General features: G+C 33.7%; 1 annotated feature.

Annotated features, from left to right (window-relative positions):
• Positions 18,550-20,163: an enhancer, noted in NCBI's record as "VISTA enhancer hs926". NCBI's record gives its function as "enhancer in: other[4/7]" and the evidence as "EXISTENCE:transgenic organism evidence [ECO:0001131][PMID:17130149]".

Below are 23,912 nucleotides of genomic sequence, written 5' to 3'. Positions count from 1 at the left end.
ATCACATAATTAGAACTAAAAACAAAAACCACATGATTGCCTCAATATATGCCAAAAAAAGAGGTTTTCCGTAAAATTCAACATCCCTTCATGTTAAAAAGCCTCAACAAAATAGGCACTGAAGGAACATACTTCAAAATAGTAATATACATCTATGAAAAACCCACGGCCGATATCATATTGAATGGGCAAAAGCTGGAAGCATTTTCCTTGAACAACTGGAACAAGGCAAGGATGCTCCCTCCCACCACTTCTATTCAACATAGCACTGGAAGTCCTGGCCAGAACAATCAGGTAAGAGAAAGAAATAAAGGGCATCCAAATAGGAAGAGAAGAAGTCAAATTACCCTGTTTGTAGATGTTATAATTCTATACCTAGAAAGTCTTATAGTCTTTGCCCAAAGCCTCCAAGACCTGATACACAACTTCAGCAAAGTTTCAGGAGATAAAATCAATATACAAAATTAGTAGCACCTTATACACCAGCAACACTCAAGCTGAGAGCCAAATCAAGGGTCAAATCACATTCAAAATAGCCATGGAAAGAATAAAATACCTAGAAATACAGCTAACCAGTGAGGTGAAAGATCTCTACAGTAAGAATTACAAAACATTGCTCAAATAAATCAGTGATGACATGCACAAATGGAAAAACATTCCATGCTCATGGATAGGAAGAAACAACATTGTTAAAATGGTCATACTGTCCAAAGCAATTAAAGAGTCAATACTATTCCTATCAAACTACAAATGACATTCTTCACAGAATTAGGAAAAACTACTGTCCAAAGCAATTAAAGAGTCAATACTATTCCTATCAAACTACAAATGACATTCTTCACAGAATTAGGAAAAACTATTTAAAAATTCATATGGAACCAAAAAAGAGTCCGAATAGTCAAAGCAATCCTAAGCAAAAGGAACAAAGCTAGAGGCATCACATTAGCTGACTTCAAACTATTCTATAAGGCTACAGTAACCAAAAGAGCAAGTTACTGGTACAAAAACATAGACCAATAGAACAGGATAGAGAATCCAGAAAGAAAGTTGCACATCTACCATCATTTGATATTTGAGAAAGTCAACAAAACCAAGCAATGGGGAAAGGACTCCCTATTCAATAAATAGTGCTAGGATAACTGGCTAGCCATATGCAGAAGGTTGAGACTGGACCCCTTCCTTATACTATAAATAAAAAACAGAAACTATAAAACCCTTGTTGATAACCTAGGGAATGCCACTCAGGACATAGGACCTGGCAAAGATTTTGTGATGAAGATGCCAAAAACAATAATAACAGAAACAAAAATTGACAAATGGGACCTCATTTGCACAACAAATGAAACTATCAACAGAGTAAACAGAGCACTTACCAAATGGGAGAAAATATTCACAAACTATGCATCCAACAAAGGCCTAATATCCAGAATCTATAGGGAGCTTAAACAAATCAACAACCAAAAATTAACCCCATTAAAAAGTGGGAAAAGGATATGAGCAGACATTTTTCAAAGGAAGACATACATATGGCCAACAAGCCTATGAAGAAATGCTCAATATTACTGATCATTAGAGAAATGCAAATCAAAGCCACAATGAGATACCATCTCACATAAGTCAGAATGGCTATTATTACAAAGTCAAAAAATAACAGATGCTGGTGATGCTGCAGAAAAAAAGAATGGTTATACACCACTGGGGGGAATGTGAATTAATTCAGCCATTGTGCAAAGCAGTTTAGCAATTTCTCAAAGAACTCAAAGCAGCAGTACAATTCAACCCAGTGATCCTATTACTGGGTATATACCCAAAGGAATATAAGTCATGCTAACATAAAGACACATGCATGCATATGTTCATTGCAGCACTATTCACAATAGCACAGACATGGAATCAACCTAAATGCCCATCAGTGGTAGATTGGATAAAGAAAATGTGATACAAATACACCATGGAATACTATGCAGCCATAATAAAGAATGAGATCATGTCTTTTGCAGTAAGGTGGAGGGAAGTGGAGGCCATTATCCTAAGTGAACTAACATAGGAACAGAAAACCAAATACCACATATTCACACTTAGGGAGCTAAACATTGAGTACATATGGACACAAAGAAGGTAACAACATTGAGTACATTTGGACACAAAGAAGGTAACAACAGGCCCAGACATCAGGGTCTACCTGAGGGTGGAGAGAGCAAGAAGGGTGACGATTAAAGAAGTACTTATTGAGTACTATGCTTAGTACTTGGGTGACAAAATCTGTTCACCAAACCCCTGTGACACACAAATTACCTATATAACAAACCTGCACATGTACCCCTGAACCTAAAGTAAAAAAAAAGTTGCTGACACATTTGTAAAAAATTGTTTTTTTTTTCAGTTTCACTTTAAAATAGTCAAAGCAAGTAAAATAAATGGAAAACAAAGGGACAAAACCATAAAAGTAGTTACTTTAGGTTGCACAAAAGAAAAAAAATCCAAACAAATTAAAAAAACATGTTTTTCTAAAACTGAAAAGTTGCAGGAAGAACACTTTTGTTATTTTGTAGTACTGTATTTGTCTTATGGGACTTCTACCCACCCTCCAAAAAATCATGTCACATTTGTAGAGTATATTCGTTGTGAAAATAATTTTGGATTTAATTACCAAAATATTTTTGGAAATGACATGTCTGAATAATAAAACAATTCTCTAAAGTCTCTCCATGTTGTTCTATTTAAAAGATAGGTATGAATCATTTTATATGTATGTATACATTTAATGCATTTTTAAAAGTTCATGTATTAAGTAGCTGCACATCTAACGATTTCAAGGGATAGCAATGCACTCTCCATCTAAATCCCCTCTACCCACCCCAGCATGTTCTCTATGCTCTGCAATAATACTACACAGTCGGTTTGTTTGCTTTTGTTTCTGATGCTGGGTAATTTTTTTAAATCACCACCAGTATTCCTGTTTTACACCAGAGAGCCATGGAGAAAAGAAATACATCTCTGTCAAAAGACCTAATTCTTGTATAAAGAATTAGGACACATTAAGTTTTCTTTCATTAGTTATCACGTATGGGAATCTGCTTGCTGGTGATAAGCTGTTAAGTAGGGTGGGAGAAATAAGTGAGTGGGGACAATTTGGAACAACAAGGCCTTCATATTAGAAGAAATGTTAGTTATCGATCCAGGAGTTCCCAGATATAGGGTTTTCATGAAACAGTATACATATATGTATTTTATTGGAGAGGGTCCCTCATCTGCTTAGCCATTTTTTTTCTGTTGGTCAAGTAGGATTTTAATGAAGATTTGGGGGAAAAAACCCTTTATCTAGCATTTTTATAATTTCATAAAAGTTATAATTTTAACATGAAAAAGAAAAAGACAATCCTAGACTGGTCCAATAGAAGTATAATCTCCTAAGAGAGAAATCCAAGGTTATAATTTTTAAAAACATTTTCATGGGTACATAGTAGGTATATATATTTATGGGTTACATGAGTTATTTTGATATAGGCATGCAATGCATAATAATCATATTTGATATGTCTTTGATTTTGGTAGCAGAGTAATCCTGGCCTTTTAGAATGAGTTTGGAAGTATTCCCTCCTCTTCTACATTTTGTAATAGTTTGAATAGGATTGGCATTATTTCTTCTTTAAATGTTGGTAGAATTTAGCAGCGAAGCTATTGAGTCTCAGGCTTTTCTTTACTTGGAGACTTTCTAATATCGCTTTGTTATTGGTCTGTTTAGACTTCAGATTTCTTCTGGTTCAATCTGGGTAGGTTGTGTGTGTCTAGGAATTTGTCCATTTTCTCTGGATTTTCCAATTTATTGGCATACAGTTGCTCACAGTAGCCACGAATGATCCTTTGGATTTTTGTAATATCAGTTGCAATGTCTCCTTTTTCATCTCTGATTTTACTTATTTGGGATATCTCTCTTCTTTTCTTAGTCTGGCTACAGGTTTGTCAATTTTATCTTTTTTAAAAAACAACTTTGCATCCTAATATTTTGTATTTTCTTCATTTCAGTTACATTGATTTCTGCTCTGATCTTTATTTCTTTTTTTTCCTACTAATTTTGGGTTTAGTTTGCTTTTGCTTTTCTAATTCATTAAGATGCATTATTAGGTTATTTTAAAAAATGTTTTTCTTTTTTTGATGTATGTACTGATACCTATAAATTTCACTTTTCATGCTGCAAATTGAAGTGTGTTTTTCTTCATATTTATTGTGAGAAGAATATTACACTGTAGGCAGTGGAAAAATAAAGAATTGTTTGGCATGTTTCTTTAGCATGGCTACCTCAACTTTATAACTGTAATGTTGACATTCAGGATTGTGAATTTTACTTCCAAATATAGTCAACGATCCTCTTCTTAGAGGTGTCTGATACTGACATCTTTTGTTACTTATTCTTCACATGAAGGATTTGATTTTAATGTGTTAATGAATTCAAAGGGCTAATCACAAGAAAATATTCTTGGGTCCTTTTACCTATCATTTTCCACTAACAAAGAATGCCAGAAATCCAATATTTAAAGATAAGAGCTAAAATTTTGAGATGTAATGTAATCATCTCAAACATTGTCTGTGAAATCTTTATAATTAGCATAACCTTTGGAGAATGTCATTGGATATTGATGAAACAGGGCATGAACTCTGTGTTGCCATTTAGCAGGGCTTGCAAAACTACCCAGAATGACGCCTGGGAATTTTAAACTACCAGATAGTTCTTATCTAAGAAACTGAGTGAGAAAGGCGTTTGTCGTCTCTAATGACTTCTGTTAGCAGATTTATGCCACTTGGATCAATATATCTCCACCTTCCCACCCCCTAAGCTCTACTTTTTAGGTTAAAAAAGAAAGGGAGGGAAGGAAGACTCCCAATTTCAATTTTTATAATGGAATAAAACTACATATAACTTTCTAGAAACCACTATAGTTCATGTTCCTTGTTATAATATTTTTAAGCGTGCTTAGAGATACAAAGAAGTAAACACAGAAAAGTATTTTTGTTTTCTTTACAGGACTAATCACACATTTTAAGAAAACAAATAGAATTAAATTGAAATAGGCCAAAGGATGAGATACTTTATTAAAAACATTTCAATCAGAAGTCACTTCTTCATAAACAGTTTTTCTAAATGGTCATTGTTTCAGTGATTATAAGACCATTACCCTTTCTCTAACATCACTCGTGACTAAAGATCAATTAAAAGAATAAATATCTCTTTTATAAAGATAAATATTGTTGGGGAAAGGATAATTTTTAAAAGGTGTGCTACAGTTTTCGGGGTGAAAAATTGCCTATTGTAACCTAAGGTTTGCTCTTTGATTAAAAGTATTTCTAAAACAAATAACCTGCATGTGTATATGTGTGTGTAACTAATACAATTAATCTTCATGCTAGATTAACTTGATAAAATATTGACCTAATTTGGGATTAAAAGATTACAAGTAACATTTTGCGCTGAACGCTGCAACATGCCTCATGTCAACACAGTAATGACAGAATTAACCTCCCAAGCCCTCTTCAACTGGGGCATTTCTGAGCTGCTACTTGAGCAGGGTTTGGATGACCTTCAATGACTAGTGCACAAAAGACCCAATGATGCCGTTTTCTCAGCCAGCTGAGCTGCCTCTGTGGTTCAGAACCGTGCAAAGGAAAAACATATTTAAAAGACTTTCTAAAAATATCCAGCTTCTGCTTGTCAAATATTTTAACTTACTAGTAACAGAAGTTGTCTGGGAATACTTAAAACATTCTTATACAAGTACAAAATGTGATTTATAAACACTGTATAGTTACTTGCAAGCGTCACACATTTTGCTATTAAAAGTAAAAATTGAAGCTAGAAAAAAACTTACCCGAATGTTTAATTCTCTTTCTGTGATTTTGGTTATACTTTTCTGACAATTAATAAGGAATTCTTACTGACTGGTTAGTGTGGATAAGAGCTAATGGTGTCTGACTCATTTTTCTTATTGGGCTAACTGTATAATACATAAAATTCCAATCTACCATTAACTCTCAATTACCCTTTGGAATTGGAGATGAGGTTGCATAACCAATAAAATACATAGATAATTGAAAGATTTTTAAAAACACAAACTTTTGAGAGAAAAACAAAAGCAGCCTTAGTGTAAATTTTAATGATTGACTAGAAATGACAAAACTGTCTAATGAGCATTGCATTCTTGAATGGACCATACCTTTCTTCAGTGGATTCCTGATTATCTGGATCCTGAATTTTCTTATCTGTATGAGTACACCAAAGATTTACATGGAAGGGGAATAGGAAGAAAAAAATGATTCTATCAGTTGATACATTCTATCAGCATATAAATTAGTAAAAAATTTATATATTGAAATATGTGAAAGAAGACTAACTCAGACTGGGCTAATGTTGCAGAGAGGAATGCTAATGATGTTCACAATGGGCTTTGGAGGATTATAGGCCAAGTCTTCATGATTTCAAATATGAGCCAATTTCTAATCTTTCTACCAGCAGAGCTTCCTTCTTTTGGGTATTGAAGGCTTTTGGAAAGTCAAGAGGCATCTCTTAGAAAGCAAACATATTTGGCTTTTCTAAGATCTGCCATAATGTTTGTTTTACTGTACAATTATAGCTACAGTACTTAGTTCAGGAGATGGCAGTTAGCTGGGTCATACTAAAGGTACATTGAGGCCAAGATCTATCTATCTATCTATCTATCTATCTATCTATCTATCTATCTATCTATCTATCTGAATTATTCATCTCCATCTTCATTTGAGAAACATATATTGAGCTCCTTTTATGTGCTGTACTCTGTGTTGTGTGTTGGGGCTACAAGGAGAAAAAATATTTCTGGACATTGAAGGCTCTAGAAAAAAATGTTCTTTTTTTCTACTAAAAAGATTAACAGGTGTTAGATAAGTTTTAAAAACATATTAGGAAATTTTAAAAATTAATTTACATGATTTAACAGAGTTAAAAGGAGAATAACTATGCCTTCATGTGATTCAAAGAGTACTGTATATTTTACCTCAGCAATTTATTTTTGACCTGCTGAAAGGCAAGATAATTGGGTCTTTTTATATTAAAAAAAATCTGAAGTACAGGCTGTCAAGTCACATTCAATGGATTGGGTGAATGGAATCTCTAATAAAATAACAGTTTCTCCTTTTTTTTTTTTTTCTGTTCATCTAAAATCCCTCCTAGAAGTTCTGGGGAACCAAGGAATTGCATTCTAGCACAACTCCTTTTAAATTTTGTAGGACAAAAAATACTCAATAATGTTTCTTAGTAGATCCATGGGTTATAGCTTTTCTATAATTTTTCATTTTCTTCCTGTTCTCTTTTTACTTATTTTTCCTGATAGTTCCCATTTTATTTGATTAGAGATCCAGCAGAAGGTAATGGATAGCATGAATATTTTTTGGATCAAGAGAAACAATACAACAAGCCCCATAAAACAATGAACTGTATATATACGTAACAACTGCAATGAACAAATTGATTGGTTTTTAATTGTATTTCTATTGTTACTCTTTGTTTGTATCAGTGAAAGTCCCTGCCATTCATTGAGTGATGCTCTTTATTAAGTATAACGTTCAACTTCTATAATTATGTGTTTCGAAAGGAGTGCAAATTTCAATGTTTTCACACAGTTAATTAAAACAAAGTTACAGCTAAAAATAATTGCCTCTTTTTAATGTACAATTAAAGTGCTTTTTATTTTTTATTTACTTTTTTCTTTTGAAAAATATACATTTTGATCTGCTTTACTTTAGGTTTAGTTATCTTTAATTTAAAATAGTATTATGGCATAGTAGAAAGTATGGCATTGGCAGAAGAAACACATGCTTTGGGGCCACATGGATTGTAAGTGTCAGACATTTTGCTATTAAATGGTGCTATTTAATATGCACCATTTTAATGGTGTTATTTAATATGCGCCAGGCACTGTCCTTGCTTCTGGGATGCAATCGTGCAAAAGAAAGATGAAGTTCCTGCTCTTAAAGTTCTTACCAAGTTGTGTGACTCTAGGGAATTTTTTTTTTAATACTTTAAGTTTTAGGGTACATGTGCACAATGTGCAGGTTTGTTACATATGTATACATGTGCCATGTTGGTGTGCTGTACCCATTAACTCATCATTTAACATTAGGTATATCTCCTAATGCTATCCCTCCCCCTTGCCCCTGCCCCACAACAGGCCCCAGTGTGTGATGTTCCCCTTCCTGTGTCCATGTGTTCTCATTGTTCAATTCCCACCTATGAGTGAGAACATGCAGTGTTTGGTTTTTTGTCCTTGCGATAGTTTGCTGAGAATGATGGTTTCCAGCTTCATCCATGTCCCTACAAAGGACATGAACTCATCATTTTTTCTGGCTGCATAGTATTCCATGGTGTATATGTGCCACATTTTCTTAATCCAGTCTATCATTGTTGGACATTTGGGTTGGTTCCAAGTCTTTGCTATTGTGAATAGTGCCGCAATAAACATACGTGTGCATGTGTCTTTATAGCAGCATGTTTTATAATCCTTTGGGTATATACCCGGTAATGGGATGGCTGGGTCAAATGGTATTTCTAGTTCTAGATCCGACTCCAGGGAATTTACTGCTCTTTATACTGACTAAGTTTCCTTATCGGTAAAATAAGCATAATGGTAGCTATATACCAAATGTTGGCAGTAATGTTATTATGTATCTTTTACAGTATCTGACACACAGTAAGCACTTAATAAATGAAAGCCATTATTATGCTTGATATTACTGATATTAGTTATATAACTAGAATGTTGATATATAAGCTTAGAGTTCATAGCTGGGTCAATTAGAGTATCTGAAAAAAAGATTTATCAATTAAAGTTTCTCCTATTTTTCCACCTCCATTTCGATTATGAACAAATCAAAGATATCTATGTATTTATTCTTCTCAAAAATGAACCTGCAGCTGAATACACACATACGGCACACATGTACAAGGTAGTATTTATTACTTTGTAATAAAAAATAGTCATGGCATTTTTATGCCAACTTTTAACGGCTTACACTGGTAGCTCAATATACATCCAAAGATACTTTAAGACATTTATTACCAGGAGTTCTGATTCATTGCAATTAGAACGTTGTAGAGACTATTCTTTCAGTGATTTCTTCCCTGCTATTCTTTCTGCACCATTACTCATTTCCTCTCCTTGTTCTTTGGTGTTTTCACTTATAAGTAACTCAAACCCTTTTTGAAGTCTACATCGCTCTGCATTTTATCTCTGCAAGTATTTAACACATTAAGCCAGTCTTCATTGTTTTTCATATAGAACTCAGAATGAAAAGAAAAATAACAGAAAAAAATTGCTATTTTGTCAGAGATCCCATTAGTCCAATCCATTGAACATGGCATATATGGCTGCATATACTTCAGATGTTTTTGTAGACAAAAAGACTCTTAGGTAGTCTTGCCTTTCAGCAGGTCAAAAACAAATTAATGGATGAAAGAGATTGTAATCTTGCTCTCAATGTGTGCAATTGTTTCCTCAAAATGATTAGTGCTTGTAGTTGAAAGAGTACAGACCAGCACAAAGTTGTAATTTGTACTGGTACAAAGTTCTACTTTTGTACAAAGCACAAAATTACTTTTGCATGCCAAAGAAACAAACAGAAAATTCCTGTTTTTCCTGACAGAACTTGTTTCTATATACTATTAATATTATTCAATTTAGGAGGATTTATTGGGTAAGTGTTTCATAATATTTGTACTAGTTGCATACAGCAAAGACCAAGAACTGTATGATAAGTAACTGCACTAACTTTATCAGTCCATATCTTGACCTGTTTGTAAATTTGTGATTCTAGATTTATATCTTCTCTTAAAACTCTTCTCCTTTGCCTTCCTGGGAGGTTCTTGTTTCAATTCTCTTCATAGTATAGTGACTCTACTTTCCTTCCCTTCTTGGACCCTCTTTATTTTTATATTCACCAGCTTGTTCTAGTTGATTTCTGTTTACATCTCTCCCTTGGTGAGGTCACTTATTCTCTTGACCTGGTCTATTAAATTTGGACCAAAAGCATCAATAATTGATCCTGTGTTCTCCCTACCATTTTATTTTTCCATTTTCAGTGACTTTTGGCATTTCTGCTGGGTTCAGAAAAAACTGGTTCCTAGGACAGAGATGAGCTTGGACACGGAGTTCCTCTTTTACCACATTTCTCTGCTCCCAGGGCAATGGCTACCTGTGAGAATACTAGAATTTTTTTTTTATGGGGTCACACTGGGAATTAATGAGACTTAGTTTTTACAGCCCAAAAGCCAATGACAATTTTTGTGTTCATCATTATCTTCTACTAACAATCAAAATCAGGATTCACACCATTCAGCTAGATATTTCTTGATCTAAATAAATTTTTGTTGTCTGCAGATATAAAGTTAGACATAAGGAATTCATAGAGGAAAATGACCGTAAGAACCTGTAATTGTTTCTGTTAAGAAAATTCAAATTGAGAATGTCTTCAAAGTAAAGGTGATTCCGTGTTGAAATGTTTGATAAAACATATCCTAAGGGTAAGTAATTTACGTAAAGTTTTAATTTAAAGCAAATAAATGTTCTGTGCATGTAAGTGAAAAGGACGAATGACAGACATTAGGTTTTATTTGATTTTTTTATTCAGAGTCCCTAGTACTATGCCTGCCCCACAGTGGGTGATCAGTAAAGATCTAATGGATTAGAAGTGTTGAATTGCAATGGTTTCTGTTTCTTTCATTTTCTGTTACTTTCCAGATACTATTTTAGGCATCTCTGAAGGACTCTCTATCAAGTACTACATAGTGAACGGACAAATGAAACTTGATTTTAAATGAGATGGTTGAATTTCATTTCATTTTTAGGAAAAAGTAGTAAAGAATGAGTGTATGATTTGGCTTATATATCTTATTGCTTCCAAATAATTTAATGTATTGGTTTTCATAGAAACTCACCAAATGCATTTGGATACTAACTTTAAAAAAATGTACTTCTGAGAAATATTGACAACGATTTTCTTAGCTTGGTCATAACATAAGTCATAACATAAGTCTCCTTCTCTGGAATTCACTCCTACAAGAAGAATCCACAGTGTGTACCAGAACTATGGAAAATCATAATGTATGTGTGCATGTACTTGACATGGAGCACATGAAGATTTTTGATTGCTGAAACTCAGTGGTTATTTCCAAAAAGCGGGAATACGAGGGACTTTTTCTACTCTCTCTACTATTGAACTTTTTGCAAATATTATTTATTATTTTTAAAATTAAAAGTGACGGCATTTGTATGTGGACATTTTTTGTGCATCTGTGTGTGTGAGACGGAGTCTCCCTCTGTTGCGCAGGCTGGAGTGCAGTGGTACGATCTTGGCCCGCTGCAACCTCCACCTCCCGGGTTCATGCGATTCTTCTGTCTCAGCTTCCTGAGTAGCTGGGATTACAGGTGCCTGCCAACATACGCAGCTAATCTTTTGTAGTTTTAGTAGAGACAGGGTTTCACCATGTTGGCTAGGCTGGTCTAGAAATCCTGACCTCAAGTGATCCGCCTGCCTCGGCCTCCCAGGGTGCTAGGATTACAGACATGAGCCACCGCGCCTGGCCTGTGTGTCAGCTTTTAATGGTTTACACTGATGGCTCAAATCTTAGGACTTTTTCCCTGTAAGTTGGCAGTTCTGTTTCTTCTTCTTCTTTCTTTCCTCCCCTTAAGTCAAAATGTAGTTCAAGGTACCTGCTCACTACCACAGCTCCAAACTGAATGATCAATTTGCCATCACCTATAAGGATCTCATCACTCTCCACTTCATTTCTGCATTTATAGACTCCCTTGGTACCTCATTATGTCTCATTTGGGGATCTGTTGCTTTATACACTTATAATAATTTTACTATCATTGAAAATTTTTAAATTTGATAATAAAATTCTCTAATGTATATACACTAGTAAGAATCATCATAGTAAAACATAATCCAGATCATGTCTCTTTGTTCGAACACTAATGTTTTACCAGTTTGCTTGAGTGAAAGCCAAGTTCATACAGGTATAACCTCGAATCTGAAAACTTTGGAACCACATGCATTTTGATATTAACAATTTTGAAGATTTTTAGAGTTAATGCAATGCATAGAACATATTTTCTATTATGCGGATTGCCCACTGGAGTTCTGGGGCCATGTGGAATATTTATATGTCTTAAATTTTCACAGCAAAAGGAGAAACAATTAAAGACTGCAAATAGCCTCACATCAGATCAGATCTAGTTTTACTCTAACATGATATTTTATGTTTAGACAGTTTAGTAGCAGGAGGGAGTGACTTTTGGTTGTCAAAACTTTTAGGATTTTAAAATTGTGAGCAAAGATTTTGGACCTTATTATAACCTACAAATCCTTACAAGATCTGGCTGACAGTGCCTTCCTGAGATCATTTAGTGCCACTCTCTCTCTTGCCTTATTTTTCTTCATATCACTTACCACCATCAAACAGTTCATATATAAACATATATGATATAGTTCTTATTTGTTTTTTATTCTCTATTTAAATATGCCTTTCTTCAAGGCAGAAACCGATGGTGCTGCATCCAAAGTGTTTAGAAGAGGGCCTGGAACATAGTATGTGCCATGAATTTTTGTGTGATATTGAACACATTTTTTTGATTTTTATGATCACTGTATATTGAATTACACAAAAGAAATAGTAAGGACTGGTTTAACACATGGGCAATGATTAATATGCAGCATTTAACAGTATTTTTATTTGCATACAGATATCTCTCCTTATCTATGGTTTTGCTTTGTGTGGTTTCAGTTACCTGCAGTGTAGTACAACACAATTTTTCTGAGAGAAGAGAGAGTAAGAGCACATTCACATAACTTACTACAGTATATGTATAATTAGTTATTGCTATTTATTACTGTGCCTAATTTATAAATTAAACTTTATTATAAGTATATATGTATAGGAAAAGTCATATTGTATATAGGGTTTGGTAACATTTGTGGTTTCAGGCATCCACTGGGGGTTTTAGAATGTTTCTCTCAAAGTTAAGAGGAACTAACATAAACTGTGATTTTAAAAAAATGACATTTCTGAAACTGTTCTTGAAACACTTTCAGTTGGTCATGGCGGATTGACAGCATTGACCTTATGGTCTAACACATAACAAAAATCACACAAGCAGCTACCTGTCATAGATCTGCATATGACTCTCAAGCTATGTTTCCAGGTCTAAATTATGATTTGCAATATTTTCCTTCTGCTTTATCTTCTGATATAAGCTCTGAAATCTGTTTGTAGGAAAAAGCAGAAACAAAAGAAAAACTAAGTTATGGGTGAAGAAATAAAGGGCAGTGGTGCAGTAATTGAAGGGCCAAATGTGGGTATATCTTGTCTCTGGAGCTCAGCGCATGGTGTTTTCTGTCATTCATCCACTGAATTCAATGCGCCAGTCCTATCTGAGGTTCTGGAGAATCAGCAGTAAATGAGACAGACAAGATCACTATGTTACAGATTGTTTCAGGTACTAAGTGCTATGAAGAAAACTAAAGCTAGAGAAGATGACAATGTGTGTGTGTGTGTATGTGTATGTGTATGTGTATGTGTATGTGTATGTGTGTGTGTGTGCATGCCTGTGGGCTTGTGATGTTGTTTAAGATGAGATTGTGATATAGAAAGGGAGGTGAGGAAAAAAAGAATCATTATTGTATAACATATCTCTGTTACCTATCACTGCTCTACTTTATCCAGTTTGGACTACATTATTCAGTGGAATCACACATGCACAAACACACACACTTCTTTACTTTACATGGGTCTTTGGAAATACAGCTTTGATTATTTGCCTTTGAAAGTGGTAAAACACACATAGCAGTTCGTGTATAAGCATGGCATCTATTTCAATGCCTGTTACTGCACTGCTCAGCCAAGTGCATTTTAGGAGTACTGGCAAGAGGGAAAATACCATTTCCTCACAGTGTTTATGTTTATTTTCCTAAGTAGGTCCTCTTCTTTTATGATTTACTCCCTTGGACATCCTTCTTTTCAAACTTTGTATATACTTTCGGGCACTTTTTTCCATGTCTAAAACACATTATTTTCTCAGTAAGTATTTCTTAAATTGAAATGAATTCATGATTTAAAGGTTTAGTTTTTCATGCTAAGGATAGTTGGGATTTTATGGTTGTGTTTTTATTAAGAGATCTTAGGAATATTTTTCTTCCTTTGAAATTATTACAATTATAATTACTATATATATACAATTATAATTACTATAATTGTAATAATTAATTGCAATAATTGTAATAATTATCTTTTGAGGTATGCCACCTACGGAGGTTTAGAAGCTGAAAGAAATGTCCCATGGAAAGCCTGCTGGCTCCTTGCTCATTTGTTACTCTTAATGAACAGACACCCACATTCGTGAGTGCCTGTGGTGCCCACACTCTCTGGAGTTTTGAGTCATCTTATTCTGCCTTAGTGGAATCACCATCCTTTTTCAAAGGTGGGTTCAGAGGTGGATTTAGATGTTGGGTGTTCACATTTTTGTTTTATGTATTTCGGGAGAAGTTCTTAAAACAGCTATAAAAATACTTAAAGAAAAAAAATCACTTTACCTTAAGCATGTGTCTTAATGCTTACTCCTTCACGCAGTCATGAAATGAACTGAAAGGCATGAATAAACCTCAAAGTTTCTTTATAGAATTTGACAGAAAATTACCTTGCAGTTACTCTGATTCTTCCATATAACTGTTTCACATTCTCTATGGCAAAAATTTTGAAAGGGATCTCTGAGTGTGTTCATCAGACTTCACATTTTATAATTATTTCAAAAATTATTATTGTTTTCTCTAACACCACCAATTATTAATAGAAGACAAATTGTGTCTGTATATTCCTTGAATGCTAGAATTCCCCCATTATTTTGTCCTTAACTTTCCTACCCCATGGGCCATCTCCTATACTATCTAAATTTAAATAGCTCCTACTATTTATGCTAATGGTGCTCATTTTCTTGATCCATGTGGCTGCTCCCAGTCCTTGGATCCCTCCTCTGCTCCCTTTTTCCCCCCAGGCTAGACCCTGTGGCTGGTTACCCAAATTACTTGCTCACAAATATCCTTGACTCTTATATCTGTCTATTCACCTATTACCTACAATATTCTGATCCTACACTGTTGCCACAATCCACCTTCTCTGCTCCCATATCCTAGTAGCTGAATCTGCCAAAGAATAATAACAAAAACTTAAAGACCATTACAAACCTGTGGTCTCCAATTTGTCTAGTCACTGTAATATCTACCCCCTTTCCCAATCTTTTCAATGAATTATTTAAACATGTGGTGCTTTTCTTATGTGCCCTCTTCAATCTTTTCCTTCTATCAGCTAATGACTTCTTGATTTATTGAGAAAACTGTACCTATCACAATTTTGTTACAAACTCTCATTATAGTTTATCCCTCTACCTGTAAACTATCTCTAGACCAATCTTAAAAGTCTTTTCCCTAGACTAGGAAGATGTGTCCATCCATCCCATCAATATTCCAAAATCTAATTTGCCTAGACTTGACTCTACTTTTCGGCCTCCCACCCTCCCTTTCATACTCACCTCCTCTAATGGTTCCTTCTCATGAATATGATGATGCTCCAGCCCCTCTTATTCTAATAAAGTGTCCCTTGACACTGGAGTACCTCTGTTATTATTCATTTTTTCTTCTTTTCTCATCCAAACTTTGCAAAGAAGTAGTCTTCACTTCCTTACTTAAATTTTTTAGTTCTCTGAAATCTGATTATTCCCTCACCACCACATTAGAACTGCTTTTATTAAGGCAACACTTACATCTATTTTAATTTTCCAAACCCAATCATCATTTTTCATCCTCATGTTACTGGACTGGACTTTAGAAATCAAAGTACATGAATTATATAATTGTTGAATTGCTTTGACTTTTAATAAGATTTTATTTATGCTAGAAAATTTATAACAATTTAAATATCTCTTAAATTTGATGTTTTTATTTAGGCTTGCAAAGATACTAAACAGCAAGTTCTGTAAGACACAAAACAGTAAGACTATCTACAACAAAAGCTACAAGGCTAATTGGTTTAGGAAAACTGTCTTAGCATTGACTCTATAGGATTTTAGGAGAGGCTGCTGTCATTTTTGAAAAGAATAATAAGTAATATAATGACTTTGCTCCATTAAGAAACAGTGACCTGATTTGAGGAGTTCAGAGACTCTTCAAATGTGCCAAAGTTTCTGTTTCCCTTTCACCAATTTGTTTTTCTTTATTAAGTGCTTATAAGTTACCCAAGCCTGTATTATATTATCATAGTTATGGAAAAGAGGACAATCTTTAGATCTAAAATATTTGGTGGTCTATTACCTTTGAGAAAATGCGAAAGGCTACAGACTTGAAAGAAATTCTGCACTATAGGTGGCTTCATTGAGATGACTCAATAATTGCCACCTGTATTTATCTTTAAAATCTCTCCTTCCTCTGCCAATCTTTTAACACATTTAAAATTGTAAATATTTGGAGTTTCTATATAACTCCAAGCCATAGCCCGTTTATTTGTTTTTATACTAACTCTTCTTATGTACATAACATGAATGGCAGTTAAATAAAGTTCTCTTATTCTATAAACATCCTTTAAAGATGATGTTTTTCATAAACTTCATTTTTATTTCAAAATGTTTTCTAGGTAGTTATATTATTCATCAAGTTATTTTTATTGCTATTTCACTACTCATAATAAAGAAATAAACTTCCATTGTTGCTTATTGCTTCTATTTCTTCAGAAACAGTCTCTCTAATTTTACAGCTAAACTCATGACATGTTTGTTGTGAGATTTTAGAAAAGGGTGGGGAGCAGGAGGATGCAGTACCTTAGAACTTTCTATCCAGGGGCTGTGGCACAGGGGCCTGTTGCCCCAAGGTTTAAAGTTGTGCAGAAAAGTTAATGTCTTCAGCCTTGGGGAAGCAGTGGGGACTCCCAGTCAAGGGCAGCTTTCTTTGTCAAGCCAGTACCCAGAGAAATATTATCATTTCCTTTGTATACTATAATATAAAAATAATAAAGAATTGCTACTTTACAGTAAAGCAGAACTTATCTTTAGGACAAGTATTGAAGAAAACAAAAACTTGATATTCTTTTTTATATTGCTATAAAAATAATGGATTATTTTTATTAGAAACTGATAAATCAAAATTATTTTTAATGGTTATTAGCTAGTAAGAACAGGCGGTATATGTATGTGTACAAGAAATTTGAGGTTCATTGTTAAAAATGAGAAGAATTATATCATTGATTGCTTTATCTGAATAATATTTTATATAATGATAGTCTGTTTTCTAAATGGGTTATAAGTAAACACAGATTTGAAGGTGTGTTCATACACAATGGCTGGCTTAATTGACTCTAGTGAGAAAAATCACAGCTGCGGGCCAAATAACTTCTTAATTTATTATAATGCTATATAAACAGACTGAGTCTATCTTTTTTAGTCATTATTACTGTTTTATGCTTTATGTATTATATTAACATCCAATAGAGCAATATTGTACAAAATGAAATTTCTAATAGGCGTTTTTCTGCTTCTAAGTAACAATGAATTCATTTATTTGCATCAAACATGTTTTATTGATTTATGTATCTCTTTATCAAATATTTATTGAGTGCCTACTATGTGCTAGATAGAGTGAGATGAAACAGCAATGGAAAGCCGACATGGAATTCTTCTCAAGCTCAAAATGTTAATTTGTTACTGTGGATTCCTTCTTTTTGTAATTATATATGCTAAACCCCCCAGTCTGAGGAACTGGGACTTAATGTATGGTGTTTTCTGCGGAGAAGAAAAGAAACTCTTCTACTAAGTAAAAGAGAATAATTTGTCATTGAAATCATTGAGCATGGAATAAATAAGAATCCTACTATTAATATATTACTGTTAGAGTCTATAAATGTTGGCCCCTTATTTCTCAAAACTCCATTTTTGAAACTATAATAAAGCAATAATAATAATTCCGCTAAAAGCCCAAATTTCTGAATATTCTCAGTTTTGATATTTTAGAAATATTTTAATTTTTTTGCTAGTTTTACCTTAGTCTAAATAGAGGCTTTTATCTGATGATAAGTAATTTTCCCTTTAAGAAATACTAAAGTAGATTATAAAACTTGTACCAAGAACAAACTCTAAATTATTTTAAAGTGTTCAATGTTAGTAAATGGAAATTTAGTCACGATTAATTAACAATTGCTCTTTAGGAATTTTAGTAACTCCTATATTGGAAAAATGTAAACCCTTTCTATAGAGACCTAAATTTATTTTCATTAAATGTACTTTAATGTTAATAACTATTAACTATCTCGGATAGTTCCTGAAACTGATGCTGAAGTCATTTCATGAAAAAAATCACACTATATTTTATCATCATAATAAATGTATTAATGTTATCATGGTTATTTATTTTGGCTTTGAATTTCATTAAGTAATACCATTGTCTTAAAAATTTATCACAGAGGACAGAAAACAAATGCATGTCATTTGGCTATCTCACCGATGTCAAAGTTTCTTTTCATCCTGGGGCTGGGTGTTGGGAGGAGAAAAGTGATGTTAGGAAAATAAAGTCTCTGTCTGTCTTGGAGATGGGGGTACTATTTTATGAATCCAATTTCATATCTATCTTGCCATCTGTCACTAGGCAGAAGAGATATAGGACAGTGGCAAACTCATGTTGTAAAGACTGTCTTGGGATAACAAAGAGAAAAGTTAATGGACATGGATTTACAAATTATTAATGATTTTTCTTGTCATTTCTTGAAAAATGAAAGCTATGCACGCTGCCTCTCTCCCCAAACAGATTGCATTTTATTCCTCTGCAGTTTGTCCGTCAGCCTTCACTCTGACAACATAATCCAGAACTAATCCAGAGCATTCAGTTTTCCTTGTTGGCTCTCAGGCAGCCTGCTTAGACAAATCCTGCTACCTGTCAGCCCTCCTGTGGGTGCCAAACCGGCTGCCAGGTTAACCTCTGGGGAAACAGGAAGACCTGCTGATTTAACCCCTACTTCCCTTCCTATAATCCACAGTAAATAGGGAGGATGTGAATAGGCTAACTGTTCTAATCAGGCCTGGATCTCTTAAAATCTGTTTCATACACAGCTTTAAGAACTCAGGTTATGAACATCCCTACATAAAATCACATGGCAGTTCCTCCAAAACGTGGGCCTTAAAGAAGCAGATGGATCAGATACACTGAAAGGTCTTAATCCTCTAAAGTAGCCTGTGTAATATATATACCATTTCCCTGAGCCACATCATTGCTTATAAATATTTCCTAATTATCAGGGTGAGGTCTAATTTGATTATGAAAACTCCTATTTTGTTAATTTCTAATATGACTGCCATCATTTACCTTTTCTTTGTCCCCTGCCTTCCCCAATACATGTGTATGCACACATGTTAATTCTTATTGCATGACAGTGAATTTGAATATTGTTTACAGATTGGCCTCAAATGATTCCAATATGAGCAAATAACTAGACAAAGTTTTCAAATGAGTAAATATAAATTAATGTTGCATGGCATTTAAATGACTCTCATTGAATTGATCAAGAAGAAAAACGGAGCAACTTAAGGTAAAAAGCCTCTTGAAAATACTCACTCTTTATTCAAAAAGAACAACACACTACCTTCTCCTTGTTGGAATTCAAGGCACATCAGTCTATCTGCTCCTGCAGCATCAACAATCCACAGCAGAAAAAAAAACTTGCATAAGCATGGTGTTCCAAGGCACGCTTCAAAGTTCCACTAAGTTTAGTCTCCTGAGAAATGTGATGAAAATTCACTCAGGTCTTTTAATGTTAGGAGGGCGAGATATTCAGGTCAATAGGGGAGGAGGTAAGCTTAGACCAGTCCCTGGAGAGGGAATCTGAACTCCACCATAAACAAGTGGTGGGAATCACTATGACTTCTAATGAAGATCTTCAGTTCTCCTTCATTTAACTGCAGGCTTTTCTGTGAGAGTGAGAAAGGCAAGGTTTACTTCTTCCCTACTTATTCCCTCCCACATAACAGAAGATGAAAAATGAGGAATGTTCCTTATGCAAAACAAACACCCAGATGTGGGTTTGATGAAGTGAGTGCACTTGTACATGCATAAACACACACACACACACACACACATCACACTCACTTGATGGTTTCTAACCTAACCGGTTATGATATTAAATATTGTATTCCTACTTCCGGTTACTGAGTTGGCCCATCTATCATTATGTAATGACCCTCTTTCTCTCTTTTTATAATTTTCATCTTGAAATCTATTTTTAATTATTGTGATAACAAATGTATTTTTGTAAAAATAATTGTATCAACTTTTATGCAATAGAAATAAAAATAATTTTGTACTTCAATACCTAATAATTAAAAAAACTAATATTTAATTTTATTACCTCCTTTCTACTCGAGATAATAAATGTACTTTTTTAAAAATAGATTTTTAATTTTTTAAAAAACTTATTTGGGTTTGTTTATGTTAGCATTCTTTTCACCTTTCTTTCTCTTTTGATGGTCCATGATTTTTTTTCTTTTACTCTTTTAAATTCATATTTGTTTTATTGGTGATAAAGTTTGCTAGGATATCAGCCAGTAATTTATCACAAAGCAGCTGAATTTCATGGTTAAGGTGAGAACCAGGGATTAATTGTCAAACACCACCATGTAAGACAAAGCTTGTTTTAAAGCAGACCAATTTGTTTATGTTCTTTTTGATAAGTAGGTAGTTATTAAACTGAAATTTGGAAAAAAATTAACATTAGAAAGGCAGGATGAGATTTTAAAATTCAACCACTGGAATAAAAAGTCTTTAAAGTATTTCATTAGGTTATATTGATCATTATTAAAAATGTTTTTGAAAGAAGACTTTATTACAATAATGACTAAGTTTTGTGATAAGATGCACTGGGGCTATAATCTCCAGATTGACCAGGGATGATAACCGAGTCACTTACTAGGAGCCAGAGGCCTGGAAACACGGACTTGGGTAGAGGAAAGTGGGCAGAAGGGGATGTGAGGTTGGGGAGAAGTCAGCTGATCTGGGATGCAGCTGGGGGTGCAGGGAGAAAATGTGGCTTAACGAAAGAGAATGGAGTGAAATTTTGGGAGAGAAAATCTATGTAAGCAAGTTAAGAGAAGGGGAATAGAGAATAAAAATAGAAGAAAGAGGAAGGAAAGAAAGGCGTCTGTGCATAGGTTTACATATGAACGTACCCCATGTAATGGAAAATAATCACAGGAGTTTTAGAAAATAGTGTTACTCAGTAATGCAATCTTTGTGCCATGTTTAAAACTTTCAAGAATATGTATTATTAGGAATTGTAAAGATACATACCTTAACACATACATATAGAATGCAAGAAAAATCTTTTAATAATTATATGAAGGCACAGAGGTTAGGAGCATGATCTACAGAGCTGGACTGCCTAGGTTTGAAACTCAGTTCCACCATTCACTAGCTGGGTAATATAGGGAAGAACTTATTCTCTTTGTGTTTTATTCTCGTCCTCTCTAAAATGAATATTTATCCATAGTGATATTGTGCAGATTCCTTTGGATAATATATGTGTAGTGCTTAGAATGGAGCTTGACATGCATTGTAGGAGTTCAATGCAGTTTAGCAGTTACTCCCGAGTTTAAATGCACTTAAACCTCTATTAAACTTCCAGTGTTAGAACTCTTTAGTCAGAAATCATAGGTTGGTATTTTTTAAATTAACATATCAAGTTGTTTAAGGTTCATATTAAGCAGAATATTTAGAATCTATATATCAGAATTATTTCCAGTGCTTTAGAGCTTTAAAAAAGAGCTTTGATCCTTTGGGATACTGAGTAAATTGATTTTAAAAACACTCATACATTTCTTTGCCCTAAGATATTTCAGGGCTTAAGTTGACCTACTTTTTGTTTGTATTTGACATATTTACTCAGTGAAGAATACGTTATTTTCAGAACGGACTGTAAGAAAAGTAGCAAGATGCATTATTGAAGCTATATATTAAGTAGAAATACAAAAAATCCTGTAGCACCCTGGGTTGCTATTTGGTAATAATGACATAAAGCAACTTCAGCTTGAGCAGTCATGCTGTTTAGAATACATTAACTGTTATACAATTAATCAATATGTTGTAAACAAATGCTGAAAATGTTAGGTCATTTTTGATCATCTTTCCTTTCAAAAGCACCAGCTGTAAGGGGTTATCTGGTTATCGATCATGTTTCTTATCAGCCCTGCACATTATGGTATGTTTGTAGTTGGTACATAATCTAAACAACGCTGGCCTAATTCATCGACCTTTGAAATCTGGGTCTAAATGGCAGTAAAACAAGAAGACTGATAACACTTAAAGAAGTCTTTAGCTTGGTCTCACTGTCTGCTAAAATTTGAAATGATTCCAACCCATAAAGTAAACTCCATGGCACATGTTACCCAAGGAATAGTGTTCAAGCCAATGGAGGAGAATAAAATTTGAACTTTGAATTTTTAAGTCAGCAATTATTTTCAGCAAAGAAGAAACTATACTTGTTAGAATCAATATAAAGATTTCAGTTTCTGTCAGATCCTAGCTTCCACTTTCAGCTAAGGGATAATGAGATGCCCCCAGAGGGTCTGAATGAAATGTAGATTATTTTAATTTGGAATGAAATATCGCTAATGGTATTTTCTGGTTTGGGGATTTTTGGAAAAAATTTGTCAAGTACTTGGAACACACATTCAGTGAATAGACACACAAATGTTTTTACTGAATAAACTGGTAAAAAGTGATTTTAAAATATATAAGCAATCACAAATTAAAAACAAAAGAGATGAAAGTCTAAATTAAGCTGAGTCAACCAACTAGTGGGAACCTTTAATTAATAATAGATTTCTGCATTCTTCACCAGCCCCCCACAAGTTTGACACATGTCCACTTTGGCTTTTTGTAAATGGGATCATTCAGTACTTACATGTAACATCATTACTTCTATTATCTAAGGATATTCTACTGTATGGACATGTCAACAAATACTTAATCAGTCTCCTTTTGATATATAAGTTTGTTTTCAAGTTATCACTATTTTGACCATTCAGGTTTATAATATCTTTGCTTCTTTTACACTTACTATTTCCTTAGGATAAATCCTTAGATGTAAATTGAATGGGTTAGATGGTACCTATGTTTAACACTCCACTCTATATTGCTGTATTACCTTTTAGAAAGAGTGCAGCAATTTATACTTTTACTTCCTTTTTATATATTTATTCGCTTCCATGGTCCATTGACACTATTTCCATTTTTTTTGTTGTTGCTTCCTAAGCAGGTAGACAAAGTTTGCCTTTAATTTGCATTTGTTTAACTGTGAGAGTGAACAACTTTTCAGAGTTACTGGCCAGTTTATTACTTTTCCTGACGCCTCTGTTTATTTGCCATTGTACACTTTTCCATTGAGTTGTGAAACTTTTTATTTATTTGAAAGCTTTTTACATAAAAGTATATTCCACTTTATTATATATAACAAATATATATTTAAATATGGTAATGTATTTTACTATATAGTGCAAATATTTCCCCTTTCTGTATTTTAATTGTTAGTTTTTTAATTTCTAGATTTATTCCATTATGATCATAGAATATGGCCTCTGAAATTCTGTTTTTTGGATTTTCTTGCTGTTGTCTTTGTTACTTAATATATGGTCATTTTAAAACATTTTATGAATGCTTAGGAAAGAAAACATATTCTTAGTTATAGGTTGAATCGGATACATTAATTTTATAATCAAAAATTCTATATTTGATTCTCTTTTTATCTGTGTAATCTGACAGAGGTTGTGTGGTAAATGCTCCTACTACAATTAAATACCAGAACATTT

This window comes from Homo sapiens, chromosome 4, assembly GCF_000001405.40.
Source record: "Homo sapiens chromosome 4, GRCh38.p14 Primary Assembly".
Lineage (NCBI taxonomy): Eukaryota > Metazoa > Chordata > Mammalia > Primates > Hominidae > Homo > Homo sapiens.
This window is presented reverse-complemented; position numbering and strand designations above follow the sequence as displayed.